General features: G+C 41.7%; 1 long non-coding RNA gene across 1 annotated transcript; it reads left to right on the top strand.

Moving 5' to 3' along the window:
* The first annotated feature begins 2,715 nt into the window (after window positions 1-2,715).
* LINC01386 (long intergenic non-protein coding RNA 1386) lies at window positions 2,716-21,492 on the top strand. The gene is made up of 5 exons (NR_126410.1): window positions 2,716-2,809; window positions 3,735-3,797; window positions 10,230-10,356; window positions 14,057-14,149; window positions 21,363-21,492. It is a non-coding gene; the product is annotated as a long intergenic non-protein coding RNA 1386 (long non-coding RNA).
* The last annotated feature ends 213 nt before the right edge of the window (window positions 21,493-21,705 follow it).

The raw sequence follows: 21,705 nt of genomic DNA, 5'->3' as shown, positions 1-21,705 counted from the left end.
TTACCTAATCATCCCCCCTTTAAAATTTCTTAATACCACAGATCTAGTATATATCTGTTTATGTACTGTATGTTATGTCTATACTTCATACATAAGAAGAGTAAGTATAAAGTTTATTATTTTTATCTGATGCAGGGTTAGGAAGGAGGAAATAAAATTTTAAATTAAAATTTTAGTTAAATTAAAAATAAAATTTATTATCATTTAATTTATCTTAATAACTATCTTTGCTGAGTAACTTTTAATAGAATTTATTTTCCCATAATTATAATGCATCAAATTTTATATGTAAATTGGCAATTTATATAGGTAAATAATAATAACAATGTATTCAGTTTGTTAGTTTCTTTTTTTTTGTTTGTTTCTGAGATGGAGTTTCACTCTTGTTGCCCAGGCTGGAGTGCAATTACCCACTCTCAGCTCACTGCAACCTCCATCTCCCAGGTCCAAATGATTCTCCTGCCTCAGCCTCCTGAGTAGCTGGGATTACAAGCATGCACCACCACGCCCAGCTAATTTTATATTTTGAGTAGAGATGGGGTTTCTCCATGTTGGTCAGGCTGGTCTCGAACTCCTGGCCTCAGGTGATCCACCTGCCTGGGCCTCCCAAAGTGCTGGGATTACAGGCGTGAGCCACCATGCCCTGCCTGTAGTTAGTTTCTTAAAAATCACTCAAGGCTGGCCAGGTGTGGTGGCTCACACCTGTAATCCCAGCACTTTGGGAGGCTGAGGTGGGCGGATCATGAAGTCAGGAGATTGAGACCATCCTGGCCAACGTGGTGAAACCCCATCTCTACTAAAATACAAAAAATTAGCTGGGCGTGGTGGCACGCACCTGTAGTACCAGCTACTCGGGAGGCTGAGGCAGGAGAATCTCTTGAACCTGGGAGTTGGAGGTTGCCGTGAGCCAAGATCTCACCACTGTACTCTAGCCTGGCAACAGAGCAAGACTCTGTCCCAAAAAAAAAAAAAAAAAAGAAAAAGAAAGAAAAAAATCAGGCAGGTGGATCACGAGGTCAGAGGGTGAGACCATCCTGCCCAACATGGTGAAACTCCATCTCTACTAAAAATACAAAAACTAGCTGGGTGTGGTGGCGTGCACCTGTAGTCCCAGCTACTCGGGAGGCTGAGGCAGGAGAATCATTTGAACCTCAGAGGGGGAGGTTGCAGTGAGCCGAGATCATGCCACTGCACTCCAGCCTGGGTGACAGGGAAAGACTCCATCTAAAAAAAAAAAAAAAAAAAAAAATTCAAAACTGGTACTTTTCTAGCAAAAGCAACAGTTGAAAATAACTGATTTTCTAAACATGAATGTTTAACTTTTGCTTCATATGAAAAAATAACTTTTTTTTTTTTAAGAGGCAGAGTAGCTCGAGTGTAGTGGTATAATCATAGCTCACTACAGCCTCAAACTCCTGGGCTCAAGTGATCTTCTTGCCTCAGCCTCCCAAGCAGCTAGGAATACAGGCTTGAACCACCACACCTGGCCAATTTTTCTATTTTTTGTAGAGTTGGGGGTCTCGCTATGTTGCGTATGCTGGTCTTGAATTCCTGGCCTCAAGCAATCCTTGTGCTTTGGCCTCCCAAAGTGTTGAGATTACAGGCATGAGCCACTAGGCCCAGCTGAGAAAATAACTAGACAGTCATTATTTATTCCGATATTGTTGATATTTTTTCTTTTCAGCACTTGACATATTTATTGATAGTTGAATAACTTTTGTAGGATTAAATAGTAAAATATATATCATTTTAATTTAATTCTCAAAGCTCAAGTCACACACAAAAATACTGAGGATCAAATATAGACAATATACTCAAGGCAGCCGATAACAGCCAATAGGCACAAAAAGGCCACCTCTAATGGACTGAGCAATCAATTGAGAAGTCCCCCAGTCACAGCCATCTACTCACCATAGTTTTGGTACCAATCTAGAATACATTTTGTGTATCTGCTATGTCAATACCAACCCCACTGAGTTGGGAGTCCTTGAGGGGCAGGCACTCTTTTGATCACCAAGCTGGTTTCTTTGTTTGGATCCCTGCAATCTGTTGTTGAAATGAGGTGTCCAGATTTGAATATAGTATTCTGACACAAAGTGGAGAAAAAGGTTATCTCTTCCCCTTTTTTAGACAGCATTTATCTAGTAACACAGTCTAAGATTGCATGGGGTGAGGAGTAGCCTGAATGGCTCTCTAAAGTCTGTTAGTAGTGGGCCAGGTGTGGTGGCTCTCACCTGTAATCCTAGCACTTTGGGAGGCTGAGGCCAGAGGATCACTTGAAGCCAGGAGTTCATGATCAACCTGGGCAACACAGTGAGACCCCTTCTCTACAAAAAATTTAAAAATTATCCAGATTTGGTGGTGCATGGCTGTAGTCCCAGCTACTAGGGAGGCTGAGGTGGGAAGAGTGCTTGAGCTTGAGAGATCAAGGCTGGGAGTGAGCCATGATTGCACCACTGCACTCCAGCCTGGGTAATAGAGCAAGACCCTGTCTCAAAAAGAAAAAAAAAAAGGTCTATGCATAGTGAACTGAAATCCCTAAGCCTTTCCTTACATATCCTGCTGTTATGATGAATTGTTCCTGGAACATAGGTGTGACTGGCATTCATACTTGTTACATTTCATTATTAGAATCTCCCCATTATTCTGTCATGTTGAGATATTTAAAGATTCTGATTCTATCATCCAATATATTTATTCATTCATGTATTTATACTTGCTTTTCTAAAGATATTTTCATAAAAGTTAATAAGAACAGAAACAAAAAAATCAGTATGAGGAAAAGAAGCAAAATTTCCAGTTCCTAGAGGTAACATATGTGCTGAGTTTGGGCATGTGAAGTGTAAATCTAAGCTTTACCTTAAAAGGGAGGATTATATTCTTCTTTATGCATCTTCCATTGCCGGGAGAGAATGGGTCTAAACAGGTTGTCTTGGGAGTTATACATATTTACTTTTTCAAAATAAAATACACTTGGCACCTGAGATTTAACCACTTAATATATATCAGCATACACTGTAAATTGTAAATATAACTGGAAAAACAGAATTTTGTAAAAATGCAAAATATGGTCTTTTTCATGCCCATAATACAATAAAGCATTTTATCATTTTGACCATATTAACTTATGTTAACAGTATGACATCAAACACGGAGTCAATGAGCAGCACAATTTTGGGGGAAAAAAGATCTTACTACTGATATTCTCTATAATAAAGGGAAGAGAGTGTTTTTGACTTGAATTTTTTGGACATTTGGCCGAATCCTTTACTCAGTGAGAATTGACTTGGCTTATGAGAGTTAATTCATACCATTTGGAGGCTGAAGCAGTTATAAAGCTGCTTTGGAATGTCCTAAATTGGGCCTAAGAGACCTGTTTTTGACAGATGCGCTCATGTAGTCCAGTCAATTGGCATATGGAATTTTAATGTACAAGCTAGTGCAAAAGTTTCTACATGTAACATTTATTAGTGCTCCTAGTGGCATGGAGAGACAGATGGTACACACATTACATGCAGAAGCGAGCTTTGCAATTGGCCTTACAGGCCCAATTTTGCTCAGTTACCTAGGTCCCTTAACTGCACCCCCATACTCCCCACCCCCACACACGTGTGAGAGCCCAAATGCCCAACCCTTCCATCTCTCCTGCCCCAGAGTCCACTATGGGAACCTCCCTTTCCTTCCAATTGCTTGACTTGAGATCTCCCTTCTTTCTTGCCCTTTCTTTGGCCCAGATCCTCACCTCCTCTGGATTTTCACATCCTCCAGCTGGTCCAGCATGAGCTCTGGAGGCTAAGGTAGGGAAGAACATTGCCTTACAGCTGTTCTCAGTCCCCACCCACCCCTAATATTAGTCTTGGCAACATTCATCCCATTTCCTCACATTTATCCCAGACTCCTCTCCTGACATCTCAGCTCTAGAAATGAAATGCTCAGGTCTACAAGAGCTGCAGAGAGATCTTCTGTCCCAGATAGTCCCAAAGAAAACTCAGGGGTGGGGAAAATGTCTTCCTTCCTTCTCTGTAATATCTAAATGAAATAGCAAAAGAGGGGAGTGCTGGGTGGAGCCTTTTTGCCTTTTCAGTCCCTGCCCCCTTCTCTGTTGTTACTGGCAATACAGACCCTTAGAAGCTAAAAAAAAAACCTTAAGGATGTGTGTGTGTTTTTAAAAGGTATGTCTGGGGAGGCGGAATGCTGAGTCTGAATTCTCTTCTTCACTGGCCCAAAGAGGAGAGAAATTCTGTTCAGAAGTTACTAAGGGCCAGCTGCTGTGGCTCAAGCCTGTAATACTAACACTTTGATAGGCTGAGATGGGCAGATCCTTGAGCCTAGGAGTTGGAGGCCAGCCTGGGCAATATGGCGACACCCCACCTCTACCAAAAAATACAAAAATTAGCCGAGCATGGTAGCATGTACATGTAATCCCAGCAACTCAGGAGGCTGAGGCGGGAGGATCACCTGAGCCCAAGGAGGTTGAGGCTGCAGTGAGCCATGATCATGTCACTACACTCCAGCCTGGGTGACAGAGTGAGATCCTCTTTCAAAAAGAAGAGAAAAGAAAAAAGAAGAGAAAGGAAAACAAAAGAAAAGGAAAGAAAATAAAAGAAAAATAGCTACTAAGAGTGGCAATGGTAAAGGAAGTGGGTGGGCTGGGTGACTGAGAGGCAGCTTGGAGATTCATTAGCAGGAAATCCTGACAGTCGGCAACTCCTGGAACCTTCATCCCAAAGAGGCTCATTTCCTCTCTGCTCCATTTTTTGGGTCTCCATCCAGATCTTCACCCCAGTCTTACCGTAGTCTCTTCCCTTCTCTCTTTATGTAGGTGTGTGTTGGATGGAGGGATATAAAGAGAGAGGATCCCCCACTTCATTATAGTGGTGGAAGGGGAGGGTGGGAGCTGAGGTATCATAGAATTCCAGATGTATATTCTCCTAGAAATACTATAATACATGACAGATAGGGTGAATAGTACTGTTAGGACTTTATTGAACAGAAAATCAGGCCTACTTGGTAAGCCATAGGGTATGATAAAGAAGTGGTCCAGGAATCTGAAACTTAACTTGGCTCTGTCACCAGCGCTCTAGATGAATCACATCCATTTACATTTCGATGAAAACATCTATTTACACTTCCAGTGAAATTTCTGATATCTGCCCACCTCACAAGACTGTGGAGGTGTATATGGCAGAGGTACCTGACAGCCACAAATGAGGCTTACTCTGAGAATGACCCCATGGTCTAAGAAGAATGTGGATTTGAAGTCCCAAGCTAAGGAATCCGGGAGTGGCCAATCGAGAGAATCACTCCTTATCTGTAAGGGACATCCAAACCCCTGGCCTATCCCTTAAAATGCAGGCCATATAGGGGATTGAGGCCCTTTGTTTTGTGTCAAATAGAGATTGCTAGGTGGAGGGTGCTAAGTGAAAATGCTATATAAACTGCATGCTTTTTACAAACAATAGTGGTTCTCCTGTCCACCTGCTGTCACAGGACCAGCCCTGTGTGTAAGTTCTCATAGGCCATAGAACCGCCCCTGTTTGTAATCCTCACAGGCCACAGGACCGACCCTGTGTGTAAGTCCTCACAGGCCACGGGACCACCCCTGTATGTAAGTCCTCACAGGCCATAGGACCGCCTCTGTTTGTAAGTCCTCATGGGCCATGGGACCACCCCATTCATAAGTCCTCATAAGCCTTATGTCTTGTTTGCTAGCTCCAGGCCTCTTCACGCTCTCGGACATGGTGCCATCGCCAAGTCAATCCTAAGCCAAAAGAACAAAGGTGGAGGCATCACGCTACCTGGCTTCAAACTATACTACAAGGCTACAGTAACCAAAACAGCATGGTACTGCTACCAAAACAGAGATATAGATCAATGGAACAGAACAGAGCCCTCAGAAATAATGCCGCATATCTACAACTATCTGATCTTTGACAAACCTGAGAAAAACAAGCAATGGGGAAAGGATTCCCTATTTAATAAATGGTGCTGGGAAAACTGGCTAGCCATATGTAGAAAGCTGAAACTGGATCCCTTCCTTACACCTATACAAAAATTAATTCAAGGTGGATTAAAGACTTAAACGTTAGACCTAAAACCATAAAAACCCTAGAAGAAAACCTAGGCATTACCATTCAGGACATAGGCATGGGCAAGGACTTCATGTCTAAAACACCAAAAGCAATGCCAACAAAAGCCAAAATTGACAAATGGGATCTAATTAAACTAATGAGCTTCTGTACAGCAAAGGAAACTACCATCAGAGTGAACAGGCAACCTACAAAATGGGAGAAAATTTTCGCAACCTACTCATCTGACAAAGGGCTAATATCCAGAATCTACAATGAACTCAAACAAATTTACAAGAAAAAACAAACAACCCCATCAAAAAGTGGGCAAAGGATATGAACAGACACTTCTCAAAAGAAGACATTTATGCAGCCAAAAGACACATGAAAAAATGCTCATCATCACTGGCCATTAGAGAAATGCAAATCAAAACCACAATGAGATACCATCTCACACCAGTTAGAATGGCAATCATTAAAAAGTCAGAAAACAACAGGTGCTGGAGAGGATGTGGAGAAATAGGAACACTTTTACACGGTTGGTGGGACTGTAAACTAGTTCAACCATTGTGGAAGTCAGTGTGGCGATTTCTCAGGGATCTAGAACTAGAAATACCATTTGACCCAGCCATCCCAAAGGACTATAAATCATGCTGCTATAAAGACACATGCACACGTATGTTTACTGCAGCACTATTCACAATAGCAAAGACTTGGAACCAACCCAAATGTGCAACAATGATAGACTGGATTAAGAAAATGTGGCACATATACACCATGGAATACTATGCAGCCATAAAAAATGATGAGTTCATGTCCTTTGTAGGGACATGGATGAAATTGGAAATCATCATTCTCAGTAAACTATCACAACGACAAAAAACCAAACATTGCATGTTCTCACTCATAGATGGGAATTGAACAATGAGAACACATGGACACAGGAATAGGAACATCACACTCTGGGGACTGTTGTGGGGTGGGGGGAGGGGGGAGGGATAGCATTAGGAGATATATCTAATGCTAAATGACGAGTTAATGGGTGCAGCACACCAGCATGGCACATGTATACATATGTAACTAACCTGCATATTGTGCACATGTACCCTAAAACTTAAAGTATAAAAAAAAAAAAAGTGAAGGAAAATTGAACTCTCTCTCTGCCTGTTGGAGCTGAGACATCAGTCTTTTTCTGCCCCTGGACTGGTACTTACACCATCAGCACTCCAGGTCTTCAGGCCTTTGCACTCAAATTGGAATTTATGTCACTGGCTTTCCCAGGTCTCCAACTTGCAATTGGCAGATTGTGGGATGTCTCAGCCTCCACAGTTAAATGAGCCAATTCCTTCTAATATATCTCATTCTCTCATATTCTTTCTCTCTCTTTCTCTCTCTCTCTCTCTACACACACACAAACACACACACACACACATACACACACACACACCCCCCCCATTCTTGCTCTGTTTTTCTGGAGAGCCCTGACTAATACAGTCATGATGCTGCATGGTTTAGCATGGGGCCTCCATTAGTCCACCTACTTGGCTCAGTGGTGAAGCACTGTAGTCCTCTTGCTATTTTCATTTCCACCCCTTCTCCTAGGAGATTTACTATACTCTCTACCCAGTTCAGTCCTCCTCCACAGCAGAGATCATGACTTAATGCGCCTATTAGTTGATGTTCTTTACCTAAATGTGATTAGTAGCCTTTTGAGGGCAGGGATTAGGTCAAATTTTTTTTATATCTCTGGGGCCTAGCAAAGTGCCAGGTTAACAGGAAACACTAGGTAATCATTAGAGAGCCAGCTCTAGCAGATATTAAAACATATTATAAAATTACACAAATTAGACTGGGCATGGTATCTCACACCTATAATCCCAGGACTTTGGGAGGCCAAGGAGGGATGATCATATGAGCTCAGGAGTTCGAGACCAGCCTGGGCAACACGGCAAAACCCCATCTCTACAAAATATACAAAAGTAGCCTGGTGTGGTGGCATGTGCCTGTGGTCCCAGCTACTCGGGAGGCTGAGGTAGGAGGATTGTTTGAGCCTAGGAGCCAGAGGTTGCAATGAGTCAAGATCAAGCCACTGCACTCCAGCCTGGGTGACAGAGTAAGAGCCTGTCTCAAAATAATAATAATAATAATAATAATTATTCAGAAGTTAAACCAGTGTTGTATCAGCACAAGAATAGATAGATCAGTGAAAGTCTCTAGCCTAGAAAAAAACTAAAATGCATATGAAGATTGAGCATAGAATAAAGGTGGCTTTTTTTTTTTTTTTGGAAGACAGAATCTCGCTCTGTCACCCAGGCTGGAGTGCAGTACAGTGGTATGATCTCGGCTCACTGCAACCTCTGCCTCCAGGGTTCAAACAATTCTTGTGCCTCAGTTTCCTGAGTAGCTGGGACTACAGGCATGTGCCACCATGCCTAGCTACTTTTTTGTATTTTTTAGTAGAGATGGGGTTTCATCATGTTGCCCAGGCTGGTCTCCAACTCCTGAGTCAGGCAATCCACCTGCCTCAGTCTCCCAAAGTGGTAGGATTACAGGCATGAGCTACTGTGCCCAGCAAATGTGGTACTTTAAAATAGGTGAGGAGAGTAGGTCTTGTTCAATAAATGGTGTTAGAACAACTGGCTACCAGCTAACTTCAGAATATTTTCCCATACATTACAACAAAATTATTTCAGATAAATTGCATGTAAAAAACAAGACATAAAAACTATACAAAAAGGTATAGGTAAATATTTTTAAAAGTTTGGCATGGGGAAGGTCTTTCTAAAAATGACCCTGGAGGAAGGAACCATAGATTTGACCATATACAATGAAAATTGCTGTTCTGCAAAAACAACCAAAGTCAAAAGACAAGCTGGGACACAATATATGCTTATATATATGTAAACCGAAAAAATTCTAAGCTTCCTAACAATCTGAACAGACCCCCTCCTTTTGGCCAAGGGCATTCCAAAATTAACCTGAAAACCTAGCTCAGGCCATCATGGGAAGGGGGAGTCAGACATGCCTCTTTATACCCTCCTCCCTACTGGAATTCAGGAAAAGCCAATGAGCATTAACATTAACACAGACCTTAAGTCTGATAAGAAACATTTACAATGTATTCTCTCTGAAGCCTGCCATCTGGAGGCTTCATCTGCATGATAAAACATTGGCCTCTACAACCCCTTATTGTAATCCAAATATTCCTTTCTTTTGATTCCAGGTCTTTAGATGATAACTTAACTCTTTCAACCAATTGCTAATCAGAAAATCTTTAAATCTACCTATGACCGGGAAGCCTCCACTTTGAGTTGTCCCACTTTCCCAGATAAAACCAATGCATATCTTCCATGTATTGGCTGATGTCTCATGTCTCCCTAAAATATACAAAAGCAAACTGTACCCCATCCACCTTGGACACATATCGTCAAGACCTCTTGAGGCTGTGTCACAGGTGTGGCCTTAACCTTGGCAAAATAAACCTTCTAAATTAATTGAGACCTGTATCAGATGCTTTTGAGTTCACACATGACAGATGATTAATACCCTTGGCCAAAAACAAGTTCTAATATATCAAGAATCACTCCCCAAAAGAAGATGAGTGAAAAATATGGATGGGGAAATCACAAAGGAAAAAATTCAAATATGTGTGTATTCAACCTCAACATCAATAAAGGACATGCACATTACAATCATGAGATTTTTATTTTTACCATTTAATGGAAAAGATTTTAAGAGAATATAGTTCTCAGTATTGACAAGAATGTGCAGAAGAAGGTACTCTCCCAGTCTTAGATAGATTGTTCACACACAGGTGGAAACTGAGGCTAGAGTGTGGAATAAAGGGGTAGGACAGTCACAGGTAAACAGCCTTATGTCCCTAAAGAGGCTGGATGTGGTATCAGTCTTGGCCATCCCAGCTGGAGATCTGATGAAAGTTCTTGATGGGTTAGGAAGTTAGACAGCAGGAGAGCAGGGGAGAAACAGATCCAAGAGAGTGCTTGTCATTTCTGATGCCATTGCATCTAAGTTTCCCTTCATAATTCTTCCTTGCTCACCTTTTTATTTTTATAGAGCATCTCAAGAATCAACTCTTAAAACCCAGCACACATTTATACTGGCTTCTTTTTAAAATTGCATTCACTTTCAACATTATATTAGGAAAGGCAATGCAGTAGCAGAAACAAGCTGGGCTGGCATTTCTGTGCAGTTTGTTCAGCACGCTGAATGGGAAGCGCAGGGTAACAGTGAGAGCACGAATCAAAGTTTATCACCTGTGGGGTTTCAGGCAAGTTGTTCAATCATTCTCAACTTGTTTTCTGCATGTTTGCCTTCCTTCCCTCCCTCCCTCCCTCCCTCCGTCCCTCCCTCTCTCCCTCTCTCCCTCTCTCTCTCTCTCTTTCTTATTTGAGATGAAGTCTCGCTCTGTCGCCCAGGCTGGAGTGCAGTGGCACGATCTCGGCTCACTGCAAGCTCCGCCTCCCGGGTTCACGCCATTCTCCTGTCTCAGCCTCACGAGTAGCTGGGACCACGGGCGCCCGCCACCACGCCTGGCTACTTTTTTTTGTATTTTTAGTAGAGACGGGGTTTCACCGTGTTAGCCAGGATGGTCTCGATCTCCTGACTTCGTGATCCGCCCGCCTCGGCCTCCCAACGTGCTAGGATTACAGGCGTGAGCCACCGTGCCCTGCCAAATGTTTGTATTTCTATAAGTAGGAATAATAACACTAACTTCACAGTGTTGTTGTGGGGATTGAGTAAAATTGTGTATGTAAAATCCTGAGAATTAGTCTATGTTTAATAAAGGTAGGTTTCCTTCCTTTTTTGAGAAAAACAAGCCATGGGACTAGTTATCCTACAGGTGGCATTCTACATTTCTTGTGTGGTCTCCATTCCAAACAGGCTCTGAGGCCTCACACTGTCTGAGGCTCTTGCTAACCCGTGATAAAGGGTTCTTGGCAAAAAAAGTTGAGCTGCTTCCTATTTCGTTGGCCTCCAGGCTGAGAGGAAAGCTCTGGCTTAGGGTAAAATACTGCTGGGTGGAATCCAGAATGACCTCCATCCAGCTCCCCAGCTGCACAGGCTAAACTGTGGCTTGCATGAAAATTGGAGAGTATGTGACCTCATCTGGTGAGGAAATGGAGAACAAAAGACGGGTGAACAGGAGCCAAAAAAAAGCCTCATAAAACATATTTTAATCACATCAGTCTGGCATTACCATCCCTGCATAGCTACTAAATGCTCATGGCTGTCAGAATTTGGTGATTACAACTGTGGCTGTCATGTTAGGGACACAAAACCTAAGCTTAAACGAAAAGGTCAGGGCCCAAAAGGCATGCACAGAAGGGAATGGTGGAGTTTACAATGTTCCATCTAACACTGGACACGTGACAGTAAGTCAGGTAGCTTCTGACGTTACTGCTTCGGCTGTTGCTACAGTCTTCCTTTTGGGAGGCAGTATAGGTAGGATGTGTTTAAAATAAAAATAGAGATGAATCCACATCAGAAAAGGAAGATCAAGATCTTAATTTCCCCACTGCTATCTTCCAATCAGTGCATCAGAATCACCTGCAGAGCTTGGTAAAAACAGATTCAGGAACACCACAGTCTTAGTTTGGGTTGCTATAACAAAGAACCGTAGACACAGTGGCTTATTAAGCACAGAAGTTTAATTCTCACTGTTCTGGAGGCTGGAAGTCTGAGATTAGGGTGCCAGCATGGTCAGGTTCTGATAAGGATGTTCTTCTCGGTTGCAGATGGCCAACTTATCCTTGTGTCCATCCTTCCATGGTGGAAAGAGGTGTAGAGAGCTCTCCGGGGTCATTTTTAAAAGGGGACTAATCCCATTCATGGGGGTTCCACCATTGTGGCCTAATCACCTCCCAAAGGCCCCACCTCCTAATACCATCACATTTCAGATTAGGAATTTTTTTTTTTTTTTTTGAGACAGAGTCTCACTCTGTCACTTAGGCTGGAGTGCAGAGTGATCTCGCCTCACTGCAACCTCCGCCTCCCGGGTTCAAGCGATTCTCCTGCCTCAGCTGGGACTACAGGTGCGTGCCACTATGCTCGGCTAATTTTTGTATTTTTAGTAGAGACAGGGTTTCACCATGTTGCCCAGGCTGGTCTTAAACTCCTGACCTCAGACGATCCACCCGCCTCAGCCTCCCAAAGTGCTGGAATTACAGGTGTGAGCCACCATGCCGGGCCAGGTTAGGATTTTAACACATGAATTTTGGGCAGGGACACAAACATTCAGTCCATTGCATCCATTCTCAGAATTTCTGAAGTGAGACCTGAGAATTTCCATTCCCAGGAAGCTCCCAGGTGATGCTGATGCTGCAGGTCCAGAGACTGCTTGAGCACTGCTGCTCTAGGTGATTTTTAGAGAAGGTCTGTTCCTGTTTCTAGGGGATCTGCTCTGAAGCCTGATATTCCCTCATGCCCCTACTCTTACCCAGACTATGTAGATCATTCTCCTCTAGTTTTCAAAACATCAAAGTAATTATCTCTTTTTTTGGTTGTTATTCAGAACAAGAAGAAGTTTATTAGTTGGAACAGAAATACAGATTATAACAGGGGTACACTCAAGTCCAGATTAATAGCCCCAACACTGGCTGAACTTTAGAAAAATCTGGGAAACTGGAAAGAGGAAGAAATAAAAGGCAGAAGGAAGCAAGCTGGCCCAGGCTTCACACCCAGATATTCTAATTTAATATGTTTGTGGTGGGGTCCTATCCTAGCAGGAATAAGCTTTAAAAGCTACCCATGTGACTCTAATTTGCAACCAGGGCTGAGAACTGCTGGTCTAGATCACTGTATTAGTCCATTCTTGTGTTGCTATAAAGAAATACATGAGGCCAGGCACAGTGGCTCACACCTGTAATCCCAGCGCTTTAGGAGGCCAAGGCAGGTGGATCCCTTGAGGTCAGGAGTTCAAGACCAGCCTGGCCAACATGGTGAAACCCCATCTCTACTAAAAAAACAAAAATTAGCTGGTCATTGTGGTGCATGACTATAATCTCAGCTACTTGGGAGGCTGAGGCAGGACAGTCGCTTGAACCTGGGAGGTGGAGGCTGCAGTGAGCCGAGATTGTGACACTGCACTCCAGCCTGGGTGACAGAAAGAGACTCTGTTTTTTTGTAGAGATGGGGTTTTGCTGTGTTGCCCAGGCTGGTCTTGAACTCCTGGGCTCAAGCAATCCACCTGCCTTGGCCTCCCAAAGTGTTGGGATTATAAGCATGAGCTACTGCAACTTGTCATGTACTGTGTTCAACACTGAAAGAAAATCTTCCTGACCACTTCAGGGCCTGCAGAGTAACAAAACACTCAGCAGCCTGGTTGAGTACAATAATATCCAATGGCTCTTACAAAGGAGACTTAAACTGCTTGATAAAGGACCACACTGCATATTCCCATAAAACCAGTTTATTCTAATTCAATCCAGCCCTGATGAAGTGGCATCATTTGTCTGGGGTAATACCTGAGGTTTGTTGCCTTATGCCAAGGAAATCAAGGATGTGGACACACAAGGAGTGAGGTTAAGAGCAGAGGTTTAACAGGCAAAAGAAAGAGAAAAACTCTTGAGGAGGCAGTATCTGATTTACATAGGGCCCAAAAGATTGGTTGGACCAGGTGTGCCATTTACATAGCGGGCAAAGAAGCTGGCCACCCCACCGTAATCTATATTATTTGAATGGGTTCTCTACTTGGCCAGCGCCATGTTGCCTGCTTCTTTATTGCACATGTGGTTGACAAAGAAAAGAGAAGATGGAGTCTCCATGTTGAACATGCCTGGCCCCCAGGTAGCCTTTTCTTACTGGCACAGCTGCTGGCATTCACCCATGCAAGCTTTCAGCTTGCTTATCTATGTCTGCAGCTGCCCTTTGTTAGAAAATAAATGATTTGGGGACTGCTTTTTATTAAAAGGGAAATCTTGCCGAGGACTCTTTTACCCTCACTAACTGCCTAAATAATTTCATTCTAGCTCCTGTATCACTGGGTTAGGTTTTGAGAATGCTGAGGTGAAGATGACATGGAGCCTGCCTTCAAATAGATCACACTTTAGCAGAGGAGATAGGTAGGTGAGCAAGTATTAATGTAACTGCCCAAGAGGTTTACCTTGCCTGCTGCCTAGACAGAGCCAATTCCTTAAGACAGGGGAATTGCAATAGAAAAAGAGTAATTCACACAGAGCCAGCCGGCGGGGAGACCAGAGTTTTATTATTACTTAAATCAGTTTCCCCAAGCATTTGGGAAGCAGAGTTTTTAAGGATAACTTGGTGGGTGAGAGGAAGCCAGTGAGCCAGGAGTGCTGATTGGTCAGAGATGAATCATATGGAATTGGAGCTGTCTTCTTTTGCTCAGTCAGTTCCTAGGTGGAGGCCACAAGATCAGATGAGCCAGTTTATTGATCTGTGTGGGGCCAGCTGATCCATCAAGTGCAGGGTCTGCCAAATATCTCAAGCGCTGATCTTTGGAGCAGTTTAGGGAGGGTCAGAATCTTGTAGCCTTCGGCTGCATGACTCCTAAACCATAATTTCTAATCTTGTGGCTAATGTTAGTCCTACAAAGGCAATCCAGTCCCAGGTAAGAAGGAGGACTGCTTTGGGAAAGGGCTATTACCCTTACTAACTTCTCCCAAAGTTAGTTAAGCCTACACCTAGGAATGAACAAGGATAGCTTGGGGGTTAGAAGCAAGATGGAGTTGGTTAAGTTAGATTTCTTTCACTGTCTCAGTCATAATTTTGTAAAGGCGGTTTCATTAATATATTTCCACACTGGGTGCTGACTGCTGTGGAACGAGGTGCAGTCGGAATTCAGAGCAGGTGGAGGTGAGGTCATCAGGGAAGGCTTTCTGGAAGCAGACACTAGGGCTGAATTTTGGAAGGAAAATAAGTTGTTCAGTAGTCAAAGTATGCAAAGGGTGTTCCAGGCAAGGGCCCAGAGGAGGGAGGCAGTATGTCTAGCGTTGTGAGCTATTGGTTGTTCAATATTGCAGGTAGGTAATCATGACGTGCAAAATAGTAGGAGATGCAATTGTAGAGTCAAGCAGAGGTGAGGCCCTTTTTATGCTAAGCTTCAGGAACTTGAATTTTAGCACACAGATTGGTAGTAATCAGACTTAAATGATCACCCAAATTACCTGGGGAACTTCCAAAAAAACCAAAAGCAACAACAACAACAAAACAAACAAAGCAAAATAAATTCCTGAGCCCCACCTGTAGAGATTCTAATTCAGTAGGTCTGTGGTGAGCCTGGCCTGGTGATGTGTGCATCCCAGCTGAGCAGCAGGACTTGGGGGAAGGCTGACCAGTGAAAAGAGGCTAGGGAAGTCGAAGCAGCAAGGGTGATAAATACTCCAAAGGCAATTGGAGATTAGTCTACTGGATTGTAGGATAACTGGGTCTCTTCAACTCACTTTTAAAAGGAATTTTTAGGGTTTAGAGAGGGCAAAAAGATATTGGCTTTTGTGTAATCTTTATTCAATGATTGATGTTACAGAAAATTTGCTGCAAGCACTGGGGCAATAAGATGTTACCAATACCTTTCTGGGTTTGGTGGGAGCCCCACCCAGGTTTAAAGTTTATTTTGCACAAGATTCATCTCAAGTAGTAACAATAATGGCAATAAATAAAGCATAATCATATTTATTGTTATAGCAAGTACTTATTAACATTTGTTTCTCCTAAAATTTGATAATAATACATGTTTAATCTACTTTGCACATAAAATAAAACTAACAGGCACGAATTCCTCTGAGTGAAGACAAGATTGGTCAAGGTTGAACTACAGCAACTAATAGCGAATGTCTACTACAAATAAGTAAATTAGCGAAGGATCTTAAAGTAGAGCAAATCCTTGGGCCAAAAATAATGATTTGCAGAAAGCACTGGTTTTTGAAGCACAGACTTGAATTGCCTTGGGAAAGAGTCAGTCATAGATTTTTCCAGGTGTCTTGTCTGGAACCAGACAGTTGGTATATGAGCTTTTTTGCTCACTGTAAAAATATAAAACACAGTCTGGGAGACATAGTGAGTCATTGTCTTTACAAAAAAAAAAAAAAAAAAAAACAAAGAAAAAGAAAAGAAAATGAGTCGAGTGTGATGGCACATTCCTGTAGTCCCACCTACTTTGAAGGCTGAAGTGGGAGGATTGCTTGAGCTCAGAAGTCTGAGGCTGCAGTGATCTATGATCATGCCACTGAACCCTAGCCTGGGTGACAGAGTGAGACCCTACCATAAAAAATTTTAAAAAACATATCAAAGTAGTTCCCCCCAAGTTATGTTTTATTATGTTGTGGGCTTATTTATACAGTGTAAGTTGTCATGGACTCTCATATATTACACTTTTTTTTTTTTTTCTGAGACAGGGTCTTCCTCTGTCACCCAGGCTGGAGTGCAGTGGTGCAATCTCATCTCGCTACATCCTCTGCCTCCTGGGTTCAAGCGATTCTTGTGCCTCAGCCTCCCAAGTAGCTTGGAGTACAGGCATGTGCCACTGTGCCTGACCTCATTATTAAACTTTTTTTTTTTGAGATGGAATCTCCCTCTGTTACCCAGGCTGGAGTGCAGTGGCACAATCTCGGCTCACTGCAACCTCTGCCTCCCGGGTTCAAGCAATTCTTCTGCCTCAGCCTCCCCAGTAGCTGGGACTACAGGCATGTGCCACCACACCTGGCTAATTTTTGTATTTTCAGTAGAGATGGAGTTTCACCATATTGGCCAGGCTGGTCTCAAACTCCTGACCTCGTGATCTGCCTGCCTCGGCCTCCCAAAGTGTTGGGATTACAGGCATGAGCCACTGCGGCCAGCCTCATTATTAAACTTTTTATGTCATGATGTGGCAAACTATATTTTTCAAAGATGGCAGTACCCACATCTCCCACACACTTTTTACATGGTGACTTGAAGACTCCTCCCATTCAGAGTTGGGTCTATGTTCCTTTTATGGGTTAAACTATGTTTCTCCAAAAATTCTTATGTTGAAGTTCTAACCTACAGTACCTCAGAATGTGAACTTAATCAGAGATGCAGTCTTTACACAGCTAATCAAGTAAAATGAACTCATTAGGGTGGGCCCTCATGCAGTATGACTGGCGTCCTTTTAAAAAGGGGAAAAATGGACATAGACACACAGAGCGGGAAGATGATGTGAGGAGACAGGGAGAGAAGAGAGGAGAGCCAAGGAGAGAGGCCTGGAGCAGATCCTTCCTCTCAGCCCTCAGAAGGAACCAACCCTACCAACCCCTTTATTTTGGACTTCCAGCTTCCAGAACTGTGAGATAATACATTTCTCTTATTCAGGCCACCAGTCTACAGTACTTTGTTATGGCAGCCCTAGCAAACTAATACACTTCCCTCCTCTCAAATCTGGGTAGCTTATAATTACTGTGGAAGTGACATTATGTGACTTCCTAGGCTAGGTCATAAAAGGGAATACACCTTCCACTGATTGTCTTGGAAGACTGGTCTGTGAGGAAGCCCAGGCCACCGGAAAAGTTCACATGTTGGTGTTCTAGCTGACAATCCCAGCTGATAGCTAGCATTGACTGGTAGAGATATAAATTAAACAGCTTTCACCCTTTGATTCTCTTTGTTAATTCCCGACTCACAAAAGGTGTTAGCATAATGAAATGACAGTTTTAAGCCACTACATTTGGGGATAATTACATAATAGTTTGTAACATGTCTTTAAGATGATTTTTATTTAAGATTACTCATGCCTTTGCTCAAATTGTTCCTCCTGCTTGGAATCCTTTCCCCCCAGATATCCAGCAGTAGCACTATTCTAGTCTTTGCTCACTGTGTAAAATTTCCACCCACCTGTCCTTTCCATGCTGCCCCGCCACTACCACCTCCAGCCCCCTTCGCTGTTCTATATTTTTCCACATGGTAAATATTACCTTTTAACATATGATATCATTAATTAATTAAGGTATTCAGTTTACTTATTTCTTATGGTCTTTCTCCTGCTAAATATGTAAAGCTTTTTAGGGCGAAGACCTTTGTCCATTTGTTTACTGATGTATCCCAAGTTCCTAGAACAGTACTTGCCGCATAGTAGACACTCAATAAAATAAATATTTGTTAAGTAAATGAATAAGAAGAATTTTAAATCTGGGAAATTAGAAAGTCACTGTTAACTCTACAACTTTTTGGATTTTTTTTTTTTTTTAAGAGACAGGGGTTTCACTATGTTGCCCAGGCTGGTCTTGAACTCCTGAGCTCAAGCTCAAGCGATCCTCGTGCCTCAGCCTCCCAAAGTGCTGGGATTACAGATGTGAGCTACTGCTCCCTGTCTGTATCACATTATTTCAGTGAATGCCATTTCCCAAACTGGTATCCCATAGTAAAATAAATTTGGAAAATATTACAACAAATGTATAGTCCTCTGAAAGAGTCACAATGTACAAAACAAACCTAAAAATTTCAAAGTGCTGCAATAAAGTCAACTGCTTTCTTGATGTACCTCATCTTTTCCAAAATTTCCATGGCCAGGTTGTTCCACAGCACACTGATTACCACAGCAGTGGCATATGGAGTAGGAATGACACTATGAGGGCCTATGGAATATGGAGAGAGGATATGAAAGCAATGGGGAAAAACAGATATTGGCGGGGTTGTGGAGAAAAGGGAACACTTAGACACTGTGGGTGGAAATGTAAATTAGTTCAGTCCCTGTGGAAAACAGTTAGGAGATTTCTCAAAGAACTAAAAATAGAATTACCATTCAGCCCAGCAATCTCATTACTGGGTATATATCCAAAGGAAAAGAAATTATCCCATCAGAAGGACACCTGCACTTCTACATTTATCACAGCACTATTCACCATAGCAGACATGGAATCAACCTAGGTGCCCATCAATGGTGGACTGGATAAAGAAAATGTGGTGCATATACACCATGGAATACTACACAGCCATGAACAAGAATGAAATCATGTCCTTTGCAGCAATATGGATGCAGCTGGAGGCCATTATCTTAAATGAATTAATGCAGAAACAGAAAACCAAATACCACATGTTCTGACTTATAAATGGGAGCTCAACATGGGGTACACATAGACACAAAGATGGGAACAATAGACACACTGGGGACTCCAAAATTAGGGAAGAGGGCAAGGGTTGAAAAACCGCATATTAGGTACTATTTTCACTATTTGGGTGATGGGTTCAATAGAAGCACAAACCTCAGTATCATGCAATATACTCATGTAACGACCCTGCACATGTACCTCCTGGATCTAAAATAAATAAAATGAAAGAGGAGCTTTCAAACTTTTTTATTGTAACCCACACTAAGAAATTATTTTACTCATTTTTAATTATTATTTTTTGTACAGATGGGGTCTTCTTATGTTGCCCAAGCTGGTCTCGAACTTCTGGGCTCAAGGAAACCAAGAGATCATTTTACATAGAAACTCAGTATACATACACACGCACAAAAGTATAAAAATAAAAATAACTGAAATAAAGTTTTCACAAACTATTCTTAGCATTATTATGTGCTGTGCAGTGATGTTTTCTATCCTAACCCATCCCATTCTGTTCTGTTCTATTCTCTTTCAGTTGTGGTCAAAATGCACTAAATTGATTTCATGAGCCAGAATTTTGTCTTTTCCTGCTGCTTTTGGAAGAGCTCCTCAAACTCTTCAAACCCAGTCCATTCTTCAGTTGTATCTATTCTGCTTCATATTTGTTTTTTAAAAATTAAATTGTTGTGGCTCCAGATGAGGGTTTTTTTTTAACAAAAAGAAATTTAAAAAATTGTCGTGGGTACATAGTAGGTGTATATATTTATGGGGTACCTGAGATGTTTTGATATATGCAGGCAATGCATAATAATCCCATTATGGGGAATAAGGTATCCATCCCTTCAAGCTTTTATCTTTTGTGTTACTAACAATTCAACTATGCTCTTCTAGTTATTTTAAAAATGTACAATTAATTATTATTGACAACAGTCACACTGTTGTGCTACATTCTGCTATGTATTCCATCTATTTGCCCTTTATTTTATTACTTTCTTCATACTTAATGTTTCCACTAGGTTTAAAACAATTATTTCTTTCTTTTGCTTAATGTTACTAATAAGTCCCCTCCCTCTTTGATATATGTATTATGCTTGCTTTAAATTCTTGATGTCTATTCCTATAATCATGCTTCAAATGATATGAACTGTTCCATCTGTAGTCTTTCTTTTACACTAATTGTGCTCCTCAGCTGTCTCAACTCAGCACTTTGGAAATTGCTCAGGCTGAAAAATTTGGAAAACATAGAAAAATATAATATAAATAACAAAATGAAAACCACCCATAATTTCACCCAGAGTTAACCAATTGACATTTTATTGTATTTTCTTCCAGTCTTTTGCATGTTTAGTACATTGAATTATTGAGAAAATACTGTATGTAATTTTCTATCTGAACCTTTCTCTTAACTTTAAGATTTTCTCAAGTTATTAAAACTGTTCACGGACCTCGCTTTAGTGATTGCAAAATATTCCATCATGAGAATAATATATTTAATCCCGAGCATTTAGAATGTTTCTATTTTTTTTTTTTTGCTTCTTAAAAAAAAACTGCCGCAAACATTTTGAACATAAATATTTGCTCATATTTCTGGTTATTTCCATAAAATAGAATCTTAGAATGAAAGGATTCAAGGGAACGGACACTAAGATACAAGCTCTGTTTTGCCAAATTGTTTGCTGAAAGGTTTGTACAATTTTATAGTTCCACAGGCAGTGTGTAATTGAATTCCTACCATCATGTTCATCATCCTCATGTAGTTTGCTAATCTGATAGAGTTTTCTCTTTCCTATTTTGCATGTCTCTGAAGAGTAGGGAATCATTCATTATTTGTATTTACTTTTATGTAAATTTTGGGTTCAGGCCCTTCCCAGTTTTTTCTGCTCTGGAAGGCTAGCCGACCAAAGCTTTCTAGCAAAGGTGCTCACACGTGCCTCTAGTGGAAGGTTTTGAGAATGCCTTCTTGCAAAGGGGTGTATGTACCTGACTGCAACCTATGACTTGCAGCCTGGTGTCAGATGGTGGTATCAGGTGAAGTGCCACACTGAGTGTAGACAATGAGGTTTCAGTGTGTTTGCATATGCGTAACAGACAGGTGATAGTTCAGTCTCAGTTTAAGCCTGGAAATCAGGCAATAGTGTGTGTGTGCGGGTGTGAGACAGAAAAGGTTGGTCACCAAATACCTTTTAAATACACACACAAAATTACAACTTATGACAAGACTTTCTCATGACCTCATAAACATACTTTTCATTTTCAGTGTGACTTGTAGACAGCTGCATCCCTAGAGTTACTTTAGAGAGCCCTGTCGTTCCCAAGCAGAGAGATTTGTCTGCACAGCCAGCCTCTGGGTGAAGTACAAATGCAAAATAAATAAATGCCTTCTTCTAGAACAGCAATATTATTTTTCAATTCTTCTTATAACTAAAAATACTAAGTCTATTTCCAGGAAATTATTAGACAATGTGAACAAATACCAGAAGTTTATAGAGCTGCAAAGATGTACTCAGGAGAGTCTGGTGTTGAAGTTAGCCCCCAACAAGAGGAGTCCTCTCTGGAATGGAAATATGTGTATTTTTCAGTTAAATTCATGATAAAAAATA

The sequence above is a fragment of the Homo sapiens genome, chromosome 5 (assembly GCF_000001405.40).
Source record: "Homo sapiens chromosome 5, GRCh38.p14 Primary Assembly".
NCBI lineage: Eukaryota > Metazoa > Chordata > Mammalia > Primates > Hominidae > Homo > Homo sapiens.
The sequence above is the reverse complement of the archived record's forward strand: the minus strand, read 5'-3'. Positions and strand labels throughout refer to the sequence as shown.